The sequence below is a fragment of the Homo sapiens genome, chromosome 5 (assembly GCF_000001405.40).
Source record: "Homo sapiens chromosome 5, GRCh38.p14 Primary Assembly".
Classification (NCBI taxonomy): Eukaryota; Metazoa; Chordata; class Mammalia; order Primates; family Hominidae; genus Homo; species Homo sapiens.
Window position 1 is genome coordinate 180,570,375 of NC_000005.10, and position 15,860 is coordinate 180,586,234.

A 15,860-nucleotide genomic window follows, 5' to 3' on the forward strand; every position below is an offset into this window, starting at 1 on the left:
AAAGAGAGAGAAAGAAAAACTGAGTTAAAATTCAATTTCAGGGAAAATCAAAGCTATCTGAAATCTGTAATTATTTCATCTCATCAAGTTATCTGGGGATTACTGCCCCTGAAGCAGTTGAGTAGTAGTCTCTGACAATTTCTCTACATGCTTTCTACTTTCTGTGTAGCTACAAAGTATCTGAGGAGTAAAGAGAAAATCTGGTCAAACATTAATATCCAAGACCCATTTCAGCATTGAGAAATACAGTATTATAATAGCAGGCAGGTCAGAAAATGTCCAGCCTTGCTAATTTGTGAATAAAATGTAAATGAAAGTATATTTTCATAGCCCATCTTATGCTTAGTAAATTGGGAAAATACTTCACCAGGGATGTGGACGTTTGGCCTGTAACTAGCTGGTGGTATTCTCTTCCATAGTTGGCAGCATTATAAAATGGCACATTCAGTCCTAATCTTGGGATTTTATACCAAGTAAATAATTGAGCGTAAGCCAGAAGTCTGCATACTAAGATGCTGATCGTGGTGTTATCTTTAATTCTTTGTAAAAAGTGGAAACAACCTGCATTTTACAAAATAAGTAACCAGTAAATATTATCCACCAGCCCAATTGCATTGTGCAGCCATTAAAGAACGATAATTGGGAAGACACATGTTCATAAAGCAAATTATAAACTATTCAATACTCTGTGATGACAACTGTGTAAAAATAGATTTGGGCAAGTCCTGGCAAATGTAAAAGGAAACATTTTGGAACGTGGGAATATGTATAGTTTAAAACTTCTTACTATTGCATGATCTTTTAAAATTACTTTTTGTATATATTTGACAATAAAAAAATTTGTCTTCATTGTAGGTGTTGTAGAATATTTGAGCACAGGTGGAGTAGAAACAAATCACAAAGACTTTAAGGAGTTGAGGTATAATGAAAGTCTCACAAACTTCAGCTGTCATGGGAAGAATGGAACCACCAATGGAAGGATCACTCATGGTTTCAAGTTACAGAGTGCCTATGAGAGTGGCCTGATGCCTTACACGAATTACACATTTGATTTCAAGGTGTGTCTTGAGACTGATAAGCTTTTCAAACCTGTCTTTTACTGGCAGGTGTTCTGATACATCATTATGTCTTTAAAACTGTGGCTGTGTGTTCAGGCTGGAATGAAGCAGTCTTGAATTCATTGACAGCAATGTTCTTTGTTTTTTGTTTGAGACAAGGTCTCACTCTGTTACCCAGGCTGGAGTGCAGTGGCACAGTGATGGCTCACTGCAGCTTCAACCATGCCGGCTCAAACGATCCTCTCACCTCGGCCTCCCTAGTAGCTGGGACTACAGGCGCCTACTACCACGCCTGGCTAATTCTTGTATTTTTTGTAGAGATGGGGTCTCGCTATGCCCAGGCTGATCTTGAACTCCTGGCCTCAAATGATTCTTCCACCTCAGCCTCCCAGTGTGCTGGGATTACAGGCGTGAACCACTGTGCTCAGCCAGTAATATTCTTTTATTACTCTTTTTTAGAAGTCCATGTGATCAGTGTCACATCCTTACTTTGTAGATATTTATTCTAATAATTTTCAGGATAAGAAGTCACATGAAATAATCTGTAAAATTCCTAAGTTGACTTTTTCACCTTTTGGGGACAATTATGTTTCTTATATTCTCATTACTAATAGCTAGATATGCAGCACCATAATTATCTAGTTTGAGTGGCATTTGTGGTAAGATGTTCCTTCTCTTACATTTTAATTTAACTGAAAGTAAACTCTTGCATGCCAAAATGTGATTTATATTAGCTATTTTTAAGTGTTTCTAAGATACATCTTTTTTCTCCCCCTAGAGACAGTCTTGCTCTGTTGCCCAGGCTGGAGTGCAGTGGCGTGATCTCGGCTCACTGCAACCTCCACCTCCCAGGTTCAAGTGATTCTCATACCTCAGCCTCCCAAGTAGCTGGGATTACAGGCATGAGCCACCTCACCTGGCTAATTTTTGTATCTTTGGTAGAGACGGAGTTTCACCATGTTGGCCAGGCTGGTCTTGAATACCTGGCCTCAAGTGATCCACCCACCTTGGCCTCCCAAAGTGCTGGGATTACAGGCATGAGCCACCGCACCTGGTCAGACTTACACCATTTTTAACGTTAGTGATTGTTTAGGGCTGTCACTTTCTTGTGTTCAACTGTCCTTTTTCTAAAAAGAGATATGGTCTCACTCATTTTGCCCAGGCTGAAGTACAGTGATGTGATGATAACACACTGCAGCCTCAAACTCTCGGGCTCAGGCAACCCTCCTGCCTCAGCCTCCCCGCTAACTTGGACTACAGGTGTCCGCCGCCATACCCAGATCTTTTTTTTTTGGTAATTTTTTGTAAAGACAAGGTTTTGCTATATTGCCCAGCCCAATCTTGAACCCCTGGCCTCAAGCAATCCTCCTGCCTTAGCCTCCCAAAGTGCTGGGATTATAGACGGGAGCTACCACATCTGGCTCAGCTGCCCTTTTAAACTACTTTTTGCATTTCTGCTTTCTTAAAAATTTCTTAACTCCCAGCTTTCTATTTCTAAGCTGCTGGAAAAGTAATCATTTAGATTAGACTGTCAGAGTGTAAATAAGAGTTTAGATAGTATCTCAGGAGCCTTTGCACCTTAGAGCATAGAAAGTAAACCCCTGTTTATCCTCAGGTGCCCCTTCCTTTCAGGTTCTTCAGGAGACATTGAAGAGAAAGCATGGGTAGCAGCCACAGAGTGGGAATGCTTAGCGTTTTCTTTCTCTTTCTGTTGCTGATGCAGTGGCAGGAAGAAGACACTTGAATGTGCTTCAGTACATTTGGCCAAGAGCATGTAGAGGGGAGGACCAGAACCATCAGATGGGAACAGTTTAGTAGATGCCATGGCGGGGTGCTGCTGAGAGAAAAGGGGGTCAGGTAGAGACAGTCCTGCCCTCATGGAGCTGAGGTGTGATGAGAGAGACAAGTCTCAACCACACAAATGAGTAGATAATTACACCTTGAGATGGCCATTAGCAAGGGAAGTGAATCTGTGGTGAGAGGTAGGGTAGTAAGTAGGTAGGAGCAGGATTCAGGAAGGTCTTTGGAAAGCAGTTGAACCTGACATTGAAAGATTAAGAAGGAATTGACCTCATAACAAGTAGAAGAAAGTGTTCCAGGCAGAATGGTGGAGGGGGGCAGTGTGTGTGTGTGTGTGTGTGTGTGTGTGTGTGTGTGTGTGTGTGTGTGTCCGTCCGTCCGTCCGTCCTGGGGCAGGAAAGAACTTGGTACCTATAGGTCCCCTCACATCCTCACCCCTTTCTCATTCCAAAGGCTAGTGTGGAAGCAGGGAAAGTGGCACAAATTAGGCTAGGAAAGAGAAGCAGAGGCTGCATCCTGAAAGGCCTTTTAGGTCTTGTTAAAGATCCAGATAAGAAGAATGCTTCATTCTGCTAGATTTGACATTTTGCACGGGGACCATTTGGTGTATGTAGTACAGACCTCATCCTACAAGCTAGTAAGTTTCACTTGTTCTGTTCTGTTCACCAAACATGACATAAAGGCATGTCTTGAAAGCACTGAGGATTTTAGTGTTGTCTTATACGGTGCTTATCTTTTTTTCTGTTGTTTTTCAGGGTATAATAGACTACATTTTCTATTCTAAACCTCAGCTGAACACCTTAGGCATCCTGGGCCCTCTGGACCACCACTGGCTGGTTGAGAATAACATCAGTGGCTGCCCGCACCCCCTCATCCCCTCTGACCACTTCTCACTTTTTGCACAACTGGAGCTCTTACTGCCTTTCCTGCCCCAAGTCAACGGCATCCACCTTCCTGGCAGGAGGTAGTCAAGCACCTTCAGAGGACAGCCTTGATTCACTTGTAAACTTGTGAAAATCTGAACATAGGGGAGTGAGGTATGGCCACTGAGGATTTTTGCTTGCTTAAGAATGATTTGGACTTTCAATCTGATTATTTGATAAGGATATAGTATGAAAGCCAGGTGCTAGCAACAGACAAATTCTGAGCCCAATATGCTTTATACTGCTAGACAGGGATTGGTGTGTTTGCACCTGTCTTTCATTTGTCATAAGAGATTTTCCTATTTCTTCTACCCAATAGAATATTTTCATGCCTGGAAATAGGAAAATGTGTGAACAGCGTATTCTCTTCACACAGAAATCTGTAGCACTGCTTTTTTGAGGCCAGTAGCAACATCCAGAGATCATTCTTCCATACTTTACTCCCTCCTTTTTCAGACTTGTTTGTAAAGTACAGAATCTGAATTTAGCCTTTATGATTGTATATGATCCACAGAAGACCTGATTTATGAAATTTTGTACTAAAATCATTTGGAAATGATTGTATTGTAAACTGAGGCTAAATTTTTTTTTAAACCTGTTTCATGTGTTATAAAGGCCAGCTTGTAAAAGAAGCTGCAACAGACTTTCTCTGCTCATGATTTGCACTCTTAGGGTTTTGTTAGCCCTTTTGTACTACTTTCTTTTTAAATTGAGAACATGGTTCTTTACATATAAATCTGCTTCAACCTTAGGATGTTTTCAGACCAGAGGCAACTTATTCATGAATTTTTATGAAAACTATCTACTAGGACAGATAAGCTGAACAGTGATGATCTGTAGACATTTATGGACTGAATGTAATGGTTGATATATGTACATTCTGATATTTTTAAATCTTTAACTTTTTAAAGTTAAAAACCTACAGCTGCTTAGGTCCAGCTTCTTAACTCTTTTTGAGACACTTCCTGTCCTATCTCCACTGTGCCTGCCTAAATTTGTTCTCACCAAGCACTGCCTGTGCATGCAGAGAAAATCTGTGCATCCTCTTTTATATTTTTAAAATACTGTTTAACATTTGTGAGAATTTTATGAAAATGCTTTTGTATGAGCTGTGGCTTTTTCCCATTGTGAAGCATTGAATATCACATTTTGGAACATGTTATAGGGTGAGTCCCTGGATCTTTGCTCACCAGATCCAAGCACTGCTTCTCGGTGTCATTGCAGTGTGCTGCTTGTCACCCAGAATACTACTATCATGTGAATTCTTTTTGTCGTCAGTGTCTTTTCCTTAGTCTTTTTGTTGTTGTTGTTGTTGTTGTTTTAATCATTCCTTTTTTAAGAAGAAGTAATTTTCCATTTATGAAGCAGTATGAATTAGATGTATTTTCAAAACAGGTCCCTAAGACAATTCTTCAGATCATTTTTAAAATGACTAAGTCATTTTAGTATGTCAAGCAAGATAAAAATTACATCATACCGTCTATTTTGCCCATAGTGCCATTTAGAGATGAAAACCAGCTTTAACTTTGCAAAGTGAACATGTACATGGTCTGCTCTCATTTATTCATTCTTCTCTCAAAAGTCAAATGAATGCAGAGGGAGCTTGGTCAAACTGCTTTTGTTTCAACTGCAGGCAGGGGAGCAAAAGGACGCCATGTGAGCATTAGGAAAAAAAATACTCACTCTTACTAACAATTTTTATACAGAAAATGAGTCATTTTGGAAATGATTCTTATGTTTTTTTTTTTTCTCCTTTTAGAAAATTCTCCAAAAGGTTTTGATGTTGAATCTTGGTCTTGGACCTGTTTTTTCCTTTGAGGGTTTTTTGTTTTTTGTTTTTTCTAGGATTTCATTGTGATGTTTTGGTTTTGTTTTTTGCTTTTTGTTTAAGTTGTGCTGACACCAAACACATCCAGTTTATAATCAGTACATTGGAAAGCTGGTATTGATGTAGAACCAGTGCATAACTTTTTATGGGGTTTTGTTATTGGTTTTTTTTTGTAAAGTGTGAATAAAAGGTATGTTTACTCATTTTTCCTGAACACTGTGTTGGTAATGTGCATCATGACAATTTCCAGTGAAGGTGAGCTGGAGCTGGTTGGACTAATGAGACTGAGGAAGCAGCTTTTCCTACGATCTGCATTATGTAATCACAGGTCCAGAGAGCTTTATGGAAGCGGGAGAGGAGGAGCACTTACTCATGTTGTATTTGTTAATGGAGGATGTCATCTTTTCATAGATGCTGGAACTAGAGTGCACTTGTTAGATGCTAAAGGTTTGAGCTTTACACAAAATGTCTTCATCTGTATTTGTTATTGTCTACAATATATTTGAATTTGGGGCAGCATATTAAGATGTAATGGCCTGTTATGTCTTGAAAATACTTGTTTTGCCTCTTCCAGGCATACTGCATTCTGTGGATCAGTTTGAACAGCTTCTCCACCTTATTTGGACAGTGATAAATTGAACCAAGAGTGTAGATTTACAAGTGTAACCTTCAAAAGAGGAAGAACTATTTGGGGTCTGTAGGTAATGAACAGTCACACCAAAATAGACTATGATGCTTTTGTTAAGAAAGGTTTCATGTTTTAGATATTTTCCGTGTCCTAAATAATTTTCAATAATCTATAATCCCTAAAATGCAATAAAAACTAGTATGTTTTCACGGTGTATATTTTTTTTCAAAAATTCTGTAACAAATATATTTAATGTGTTGCCATAATGTCATTTCAGTATTTTTGCTGGATAAATCCATTTTAGAAATGTCTTACAAAAAGTTTAGGGCATGTTTTCTGTTTTAAAGACCAGAAGTTTGAAGGCACCCAAATCCTTGTCGCCAATCTCCTGAAGTACAGCTTTACCATATTAGTGGTCATTATTTATGCTTTGAGAGTTTCAATATTGTTCGTCAAGTTAACTTATGGCATAATTTAAGCTAAAGTTGTAGAAATGAATTGTTGAGTGCAACTTTCATAGTCCCAAAGATAGGCAGAGAACATCTCCAGAAATGTGTGTGTGTGTGTGTGTGTGTGTGTGTGTGTTTAATATGATTTAGTGACAACCAGGAAAACTTACTTGGGATTATTAGCACTTTCAAACTTAGGGACATTATTAAATTGGATGGAATGCACTTCTAAATGTTTAAATTAAAATTTCAAAGCTCTTTCGAGATTCAGGTTCTCAATAATAATATTCAAGTTTTAGAGTTTCACTTTGTACTATTTAAATTTATGGAACTAGTTTCCATACTGACTTGTAAGGTTTTGGGGTCATATATAAGGACTAAAGCCAAGCTAGGCAAAACAATGACAGCACCGTTTTTTCAGTGAAGCTCTCAGAATGTCCAGTACAGATGTTGCAGATAATTCCAAGAACTCCTTCAGCAGGTGTTCTTCACCATTCGTAAACAGTATTTTAAGATGTTCACTTTGCTCTTCTTTTTGGTTACATACATTTTAATAACTGGTATGTTGAAGTAGTGTCTAAAAGTATCTAGTCTTTATTCACAGTACATTATATTGTGTGATGCACTGGACTAACTCTTGTTTACCATTCATGTAACAAAACCCAGCACATTATCTGCACTATAAGCTCAAAGAATGTCACATCCGCCCAGACAGCTCTTTGATGAGGGTGATGGGAACTGAATAAACCATACGGACTGGCAGTAACAAGGGCTTTTACTGTTCTGTTCAGTGGAACCTTCTTGGTCAAATTGTAATTAGCTAGCATTATATTTATATACAGGGTCTTTTTTCTTTACCGATGTATTTTCCTACTCATAGCCAACCAATAAATTCAGTATCTGTTTCAAATATTTTAGAAGTGTAGTTTGTATAGCTGTAGTACTGAGGTTTGAGGAAAAATAAATGTTGATCAGCAGACCACGTATTTAAAATTCTGAATCTTCTGGGACAGGGTTGTAACTCAGCCTTCCAAAGGGAAGAGTGCAGGGGGACGGGGCCATGATATGGGGAAATGGTGTAAACTAATGTATTTCTTTATTGGCTGTTATTCTGTATAACACTCATATCTTTGCCAAAGTTCAATTTTATATTTAGGCAACTGATGGTCCTTTTGCATTTAGGATTTTCGTTGTTGTTACCTTATACCTCATGATATAAGGAATGGGCTCATGTGTCTTCCGTCTTTTGGAAGGAGGTTGACATATTTTAAATAAATGCTTTTAAATACAGTAGCAAACATTGTGTTGGGGTTATAATAATTCATTAAATGTCTTGTTGCCTGTATTTTGTTGTATGTGTAAACTCTAAAAACGTGTGACTTCCTAAGTCTTCCGATGTCACCTTACAATTGAGAAAACAACATGAGTTCCTTTGCTTTTAGAACGACTTCCATAGCAGACGTACATTTTTATGTACATGTGGGAAAAACCATGCAAAATCTGGACAGTTTAGATAATATTTCCTTTGATCTCCAGTTTTTAAAGTAGGCATGTTCTACTTAATCCTTAATACAGTGATGCACATTAGGGGGATGTATGCTGAGAAATGCATCCTTAGGTGATTTTGCCATTGTGTGAACATCAGATTGTATTTACATAAACTAAATGGTGTAGCCTATTACACATCTCGGCTGTGTGCTTAGCCTGTTGCTCCAAGGCTAGAAACCTGTGCAGCATGTTACTGTATTGAACACTGTAAGCAGTTGTAAGACAATGGTAAATATTTGTGTATCTAAACATGGAAAAGACAGAGTAGGCTGGGTGCGGTGGCTCACACCTGTAGTCCCAGCACTTTGGGAGGCTGAGGCAGGTGGATCACGAGGTCAGGAGATCAAGACCATCCTGGCTAACACGGTGAAACCCCGTCTCTACTGAAAATACAAAAAATTAGCCGGGTGTGGTGGCAGGCACCTGTAGACCCAGCTACTCAGGAGGCTGAGGCAGGAGAATGGTGTGAAACCTGGAGGCGGAGCTTTCAGTGAGCCAAGATCGCACCGTTGCACTCCAGCCTGGGCGACAGAGCGAGACTCCGTCTCAAAAAAAAAAAAAAAAGTGAAAATACAGTATAAAAAGTGGTATGTCTGAGGCTGGGCACAGTGGCTCACGCCTGTAATCTCGTTTTGGGAGGCCGAGGTGGGCGGATCACTTGAGGCCAGGAGTTCAAGACCAGACTGCGCATCATGGCGAAACCCCATCTCTATAAAACATAGAACAATTAGCTGGGCGTGGTGAGACGCCTGTGGTCCCAGCTACTTAAGAGGCTGAGGTGGGAGAATTGCTTGAGCCCAGGAGGTGGAGGTTTCAGTGAGGAGATTGTGCCACTACACTCCAGCCTCAATGACAAAGTGAGACTCTCAAAAAAAAAAAAAAAGATACCTGAATAGGCAGCTCTAATATATCTTATGGACCATCCTCATATATGTGGTCCATCTTTGACCAAAATGTCATTATGCACAGTGCATGACTGTATGTAGTTTTACCTCTATGATAAGTTTTTGTTCCTCCATATAATTGTCAAAAAAGTAAGTATAAAGTTAGGTTGATTGTAGTGGCTCATGCCTGTAATCCCAGCACTTTGGGAGGCCAAGGTGGGCGGATCAGTTGAGCCCAGAGGTTCAAGACCAGCCTGGGCAATATGGCAAAACCCCACCTCTACAAAAAATTCAAAAATTAGCCGGGCATGGTTGTGCATGCCTATTGTTCCAGCCACTCGGGAAGCTGAGACAGGAGGATCGCTTGAGCCGGGAGGCTAAGGTTGCAGTGAGCCCAGATGGCACCACTGCACTCCAGCCTGGGTGACAGAGCAAGACCCTGTCTTAAAAAAAAACAAGTTAATGAAGTATGTGCCATGTTACTTGATAAATTCCAATTAATGTTCTTTAAAAGAACAAGTACCTAAAGAAACGTGAACTGAAATATATTTAGAATAAAGTTTTTAGGTTTTTAGATAACGAGATAACAATATCTACCGAGAGTTCCCTTTTTAGACTATTATTTAGGTATTCAAATTGATTCTAAAATAAGCTTTTGGCTGGGCGCGGTGGCTCATGCCTGTAATCCCAGCACTTTGGGAGGCTGAGGCGGGTGGATCACGAGGTCAGGAGATCGAGACCATCCTGGCTAACAGTGAAACCCTGTCTCTACTAAAAGTACAAAAAATTAGCCGAGCGTGGTGGTGGGTGCCTGTAGTCCCAGCTACTCGGGAGGCTGAGGCAGGAGAATGGCATGAACCCGAGAGGCAGAGGTTGCAGTGAGCCGGGATCGCACCAGTGCACTCCAGCCCAGGCAACAGAGCAAGACTGTCTCAAAAAAAAAAAAAAAAAAAAAAAAAATCTTTTACACATATTATAAAGATAATTTTAACATAATGAGTGGTTATATGTTAGAAGAAACTTGTAGAAGATAGTTTTCTACTAGAATTTTAGGATAATTTGAGAAATGTTTTTGTAAGTAAATTTCCCCTGAATAATATTTTAAATAGATTGTTACATAAATGAATCTAACCAGCTAGTCTATAGCTAGGGGTTGGGAGGACTGCTGGATTGCAAAGTAGTTTGAAAACGAGTTTCTACAGTTTTAGCACATTTAACATTTTTAATCAAATGAACAAGGAAATGTCAGTTTTCTCATTTTCTTTGAATCACAAACTTCAGATCACTCTAATCTACCGAAAAGCTATTAAATGAGTTTGGTCTGTTACAAGAAATTTTGCTTGCTCTATCAAGTGCGACCTGAGGCAGGCTTCAAGAGCTTTAATTGCCGGATACGTTCCAGCTTACCAGCAAAGGGAATCTAAGCTGCTGGGCTTACAGAGTTACCCACTAGTAAGTTGCCTAAGCTTACTTAAAATTGAGAGATTTACAATTGTCAGACTCTGTGCTTAGTTTGGAAATAAAGATTTATAGGCATAATCCTTGACTTCCAAGTTGTTCGTTGACCTTATATCTAGTGCATTGGATGCTGAAGATGTAATAGGTGTGGAGGAAGAAACTTGGGCTACTGGGAAGGTTGCTGTAGCAGCACTGTGCAGGATGCATGAAAAGGGGAGATGAATACTTGGTGTCAGACTAGTCAGCTGGTTTCTGGTGTGGTCCAGTTGACAGCTAAGCTGAGGAGGGCTTGCAGAGCAGTAAGCCTAGAAAGGAAAGGGAATTTTGAAATGTTTAGGAAAGGGAAGTAATAATCTCAATTCCTGCCTCGTGTGGATGAAAAGACAGATAAATGAGTTTTGTCCAGTCAGTGCTTTCATTATGTAAACCCTGATTCAAAATCTTATGTCTGCCACCAAGGCCCCCATTTTTCCTTCACCCATCTGACAAAAGTATTTAGTTGAAGAATCTTGTTTCTCAAGCTGGATTTTACTTCATTCCCCATTATCATTTATTCAGATTTTAGTCTGCAGGAGAAATCCATTGTGCCCCTACTAAACAGCCATTAGTTCCAGAAAATGATAAAAGGTAGCATTTGATGCTAAATTAATTCTTTTAGCCTGTTTCCCTTTGGCTTTTTCTATTACTGAAAATAGTTTAAATGTAAAAAGACTGCCTTTCTGAGGTTGCTGGTAAGACCAAGCATTGGGAGGTATTTAAGTAGAGCAACATACAAGCAGCGAAGGGAGGGATCCAAGAATTCTCAGCTCTGCGAAGCTCCCCTCATGCAAAGGACTCGCGCTGTGTGTTGTTCAGTGTGGTGGCCTCTAGCCATGTGTGGCTTTTGAGCATTTGAAATACGGCTGTTGTGACTGGTACTGAAAAATATATTTTTTTTTTGTCAAGCAAAACAATGATTTTTATAGGATCACATTTATCTTTTAATTGTTGCATTGTGTAAGAGAACCATTGCCTTGCTTGCTTGTATTACACATAAACACATTGCCAGATGATATCAAAGAATTGACTTCATTCTAACAGTATTTTGCTACTAACCAAAGTAACATTATAGTGTTTATCTAAATGTTATATGCAGTTACTGTGCCTATGTAAATCCTAATTAGTAGTTAAAGTGAGATGTATGTTCTTATTTTTCTAATTTAAAAAATATAGACGGGGCCAGGTGCGGTGGCTCACGCCTGTAATCCCAGCACTTTCGGAGGCCGAGGCAGGTGGATCACGAGGTCAGGAGATCGAGACCATCCTGCCCAACATGGTGAAACCCCGTCTCTACTAAAAATACAAAAATTAGCCAGGAGTGGTGGTGGGCACCTTAGTCCCAGCTACTCGAGAGGCTGAGGCAAGAGAATCAGGTGAACCTGAGAGGCAGAGGTTGCAGTGAGCCGATACCGTGCCAATGCACTCCAGACTGGCAACAGAGGGAGACTCCATCTCAAATATATATATATATGTGTGTGTGTGTGTGTGTGTGTATATATACACACACACACACATATATACCTGTATGCACATATATATACACATGTACACATATATATACACAAATATATATACATACAAATTATTAAATTTAAAATCAGTGGTGGCTCAAGCCTGTGTAATCCCAGCACTTTGGGAGCCCGAGGCGAGTGGATCTCCTGAGGTCAGCAGTTTAAGACCAGCCTGGCCAACATGGTGAAACCCCATCTCTACTAAAAATACAGAAATCAGCCCAGAGTGCTGGCAGGCGCCTGTAATTCCAGGTACTCAGGAGGCTGAGGCAGGAGAATTGCTTGAACCCGCGAGGTGGAGGTTGCAGTGAGCCAGGACCGTGCCACTGCACTCCAGCCTGGGCGACAAGAGCGAGAAAAAAAAAAAAAAAGTTTAAAAATCATGTATTTGCTAATGATTATTTGCTGAATTGTGAAGGAGTTTTAATGATTCATTGTCCTATTGATTCCAATTTAAGATTCTTTTGCAACAAAAGGAATGCTAACGTGTATGCAATAATCTAAAGCAGAAAATGTCAGAGTCTGTGGCGCACATTTTCTCACCAATATCACACTGAATATGAATGAACTAAAGTTGAAGCTCCAAGGAAGGGAAAAGCTTATTTGTGATGTTCACAGACAGGTACAAGAATTTATGTTGAAATCGAAACTTTATAATGCAAATCCAGAATATGGCTTTGACACATTTTCTAACATTTAAAATTTTAATTGTAATTTAACATTTTATAAATTGCAAAAACTACAAGTAAAATTTGAAGAACACTGTTGATACATAGATAAATTTAGAGTAGCTGCCAAGCGTGGTGGCTCACATCTGTAATCCCAGCACTTGGGGAGGGCAAGGCAGAAGGACTGCTCGAGGTTGGGAGTTTAAGACCAGCCTGAGCAATACAGGGAGACCCTGTCTCAGAAAAATAAAATTTAGAGTTTTTTAAATTATGCATTACCCCTTTGAATTTGATGTTCATATTCTAGAGTCAATGCAAGTATTCATGAGTACTTAGAGAGAAACAAATAGGTTTGCTACAAAGTTCAGTAGATTCCTATAAAACAGAAATAGCAGGTTTGTTGATATGGGTCCAGAAATGTTTTTAAATGATTTTGGGGATTTGATTCAATTATAAAACAAGTATAATTGTTGCAACTTTGGTATGTGAATCAATTTTTAAGATTCAACTATATGATATTTATAGGAGATGCACTTTAGATGTAAAGGTTACAAATAGGCTGAGAGTACAAGGATGGAAGAAGATGTCATGCAAACAGGAACTATAAAAATTGGAGCTATCCTAACGTCAGACAAAATAGACTAGGAAACAAAAAATGTTCCTAGAGATGAAGGATATATCTTCTAATGATGAACAACAGCAAACAACAAAGCCCCAAACTACAGGAAGCAAAAGCTGACAGATTGGAAGGGAGAAATTGACAATTCAGCAATAATAAATGGAAATTTCAGTACCTTTCTCTCAATAGAACAACTAGGCAGAAATCGATGTTAATAGGAAACACCAACTGAACCTGATAGAGAAGTAAAACAATACCAGAATATACATTTCTCCCAGGTGTACATGGAATATTCTCTAGGGCAGATCATATGGGATGCTATAAAACAAGCCATAATAAGCTCAAAAGGATTGAAAACATACCAAATATATTATCCAATCAATGAAGTGAAACCAGGGAAGTTTGAAAATATTTTGAAATAAATGAAAAGACAATATACCAAAACATGGGAAGCAGTGAAAGCAATACTTAAATTTATAAACACATTTTAAAAGAAGATTTTGGGGCCAGGCGCGGTGGTTCACGCCTGTAATCCCAGCACTTTGGGAGGCTGAGGCAGGCGGGTCACGAGGTCAGGAGATCGAGACCATCCTGGCTAACATGGTGAAACCTCGTCTCTACTAAAAATACGAAAAAAAAAATCATCTGGGCGTGGTGGCGGGCGTCTGTATTCCCAGCTACTTGGGAGGCTGAGGCAGGAGTCCCAGCTACCCAGGAGGCCGAACTTGCAATGAGCTGAGACCACTGCACTCCAGCCTGGGCGACAGAGCAACACGCCATCTCAAAAATAAAAAAAAGATCTTAAATCTTTTCAACTTAAGACACTGGAAAACAGTAAACCAAACCCAAAGCAAGCAGAAAGAAGGAAGTAATTAGAACTAGAGCAGAAAATCATGAAATAGAGAATAGAAAAACAGGAGAGGGCCAGGCGTGGTAGCTCACACCTATAATCCCAGCACTTTGGGAGGCCGACGCGGGCAGATCACGAGGTCAGGAGCTGGAGACCAGCCTGGGCAACATGGTGAAACCCCGTCTCTACTAAAAATAGAAAAATTAACTGGTCGTGGTGGTGCACGCCTGTAGTCCCAACTACTCAGGAAGCTGAGGCAGGAGAATTGCTTGAACCCGGGAGGCAGAGGTTGCAGTGAGCCGAGATCGCACCACTGCACTCCATCCTGGCGAGAGAGGGACACTTTGTCTCCAAAAAACAAACAAACAAAACAAAACAGTAGAGAATCAAAGACTGATTCTTTGGAAAGATCAGCAAAGTTGATGAGCCTTTAAAGAGACTGAACATAAAAAGCTACTTGAATTACTAAAATCAGGAATGAAAGGGAGACATTACTACCAACCTTTATAGAATAAAAAGGATTATTATGGAATGCTATGGACAATTGTATGCCCATGAATTAGACAATGTAGATGACATGGATAGATTCCTAGAAAGACACTACCAAAACTGACTCAAGAAGAAATAGAAAATCTGAATAGATGTACAACAATAAAGGGATTGAATTAGTAATGAAAAAAAACTACAAAATGAAAAGCATAGGCCCTGATGGCTTCACTGGTGAATCCTATCAAGTATTTAAGCTGATACCAATTCCTCACAAACTTCAAAAAGTAGAAGAGGGAACACTTTTTAACTCATTCTGTGAGGTCAGTATTACCCTGATATCAAAACCAGACAAAGATATCTCAAAGAAAACTACATACCAATCACTTTTAAATATAGATCCAAAAGTCCTCAAAAACATACTAGCAAAATAGGATTCAGCAATATATAAAAAAGGATTTTGCACCATGACCAAGTGGGATTTATCCAATTAATGTAATGTATTGTATCAGTAGAACAAAGGACAAAAGCGTAGGATCATTTGACAAAACTTACTCTCCAAAAACAAACAAAAACGAGAACAACTTCAATCTGGTAAGAGGCATTTACAAAGAACCTACAGGTAATATGATACGTAATGATGACAGACTAAGGCTTTCCCCCAAGAAAGCATGGAATTCATGTTCTTGGATTGAAGGATAATATTAAGATGGCAATACTCCCTAAATTGATCTACAGATTCAATGCAGTCTCTATCAGAATCCCAGCTGACTTTTTGTTTGTTGCAGAAATTGACAATCTAATATTTAAAGTCATATGGAAATCCAAGGGACCTCCAAAATAGCCAAACAGTCTTGAAGAGGGTCAAAGTTGGAGGACTAAAGCATCCTGATTTTAAAACTAGTTACAAAGCTACAGTAATCAAGACAGTGTGGTTCTAGCATAAGGATAGCACATTGGTCAATAGAATTGAATTTAAAGCCCAAGAAATAAACCCTTACATTTCTGGTCAATTGATTTGTGACAAACATGCCAAGATATCTCAATTGGGGAAAGTGTAGCATCTTCAATGAATAGTGCTGGGACAGCTGAATTCAGGCATATTTTGGAG

General features: G+C 39.4%; 1 protein-coding gene across 14 annotated transcripts in view; it reads left to right on the forward strand.

Annotated features, from left to right (window-relative positions):
- Positions 1-7,984, forward strand: part of CNOT6 (CCR4-NOT transcription complex subunit 6) — an 83,980-nt gene extending 75,996 nt beyond the window's left edge. For 11 of the 14 annotated variants that reach the window (NR_163437.1, NR_163438.1, XM_047417436.1 and 8 more), the window contains 2 exons: positions 856-1,058; positions 3,614-7,984. Coding sequence is in view for 12 of the 14 variants with exons in the window: in XM_047417436.1 (XP_047273392.1) it covers positions 856-1,058; positions 3,614-3,826 (416 nt within the window). In the remaining 2 variants the exon portion in view is untranslated. The remainder of the gene's footprint in view (positions 1-855; positions 1,059-3,613) is intronic. The other 3 variants (XM_047417440.1, XM_017009672.2, XM_047417439.1) reach the window with 1 other exon arrangement.
- Positions 7,985-15,860: the final 7,876 nt, after the last annotated feature.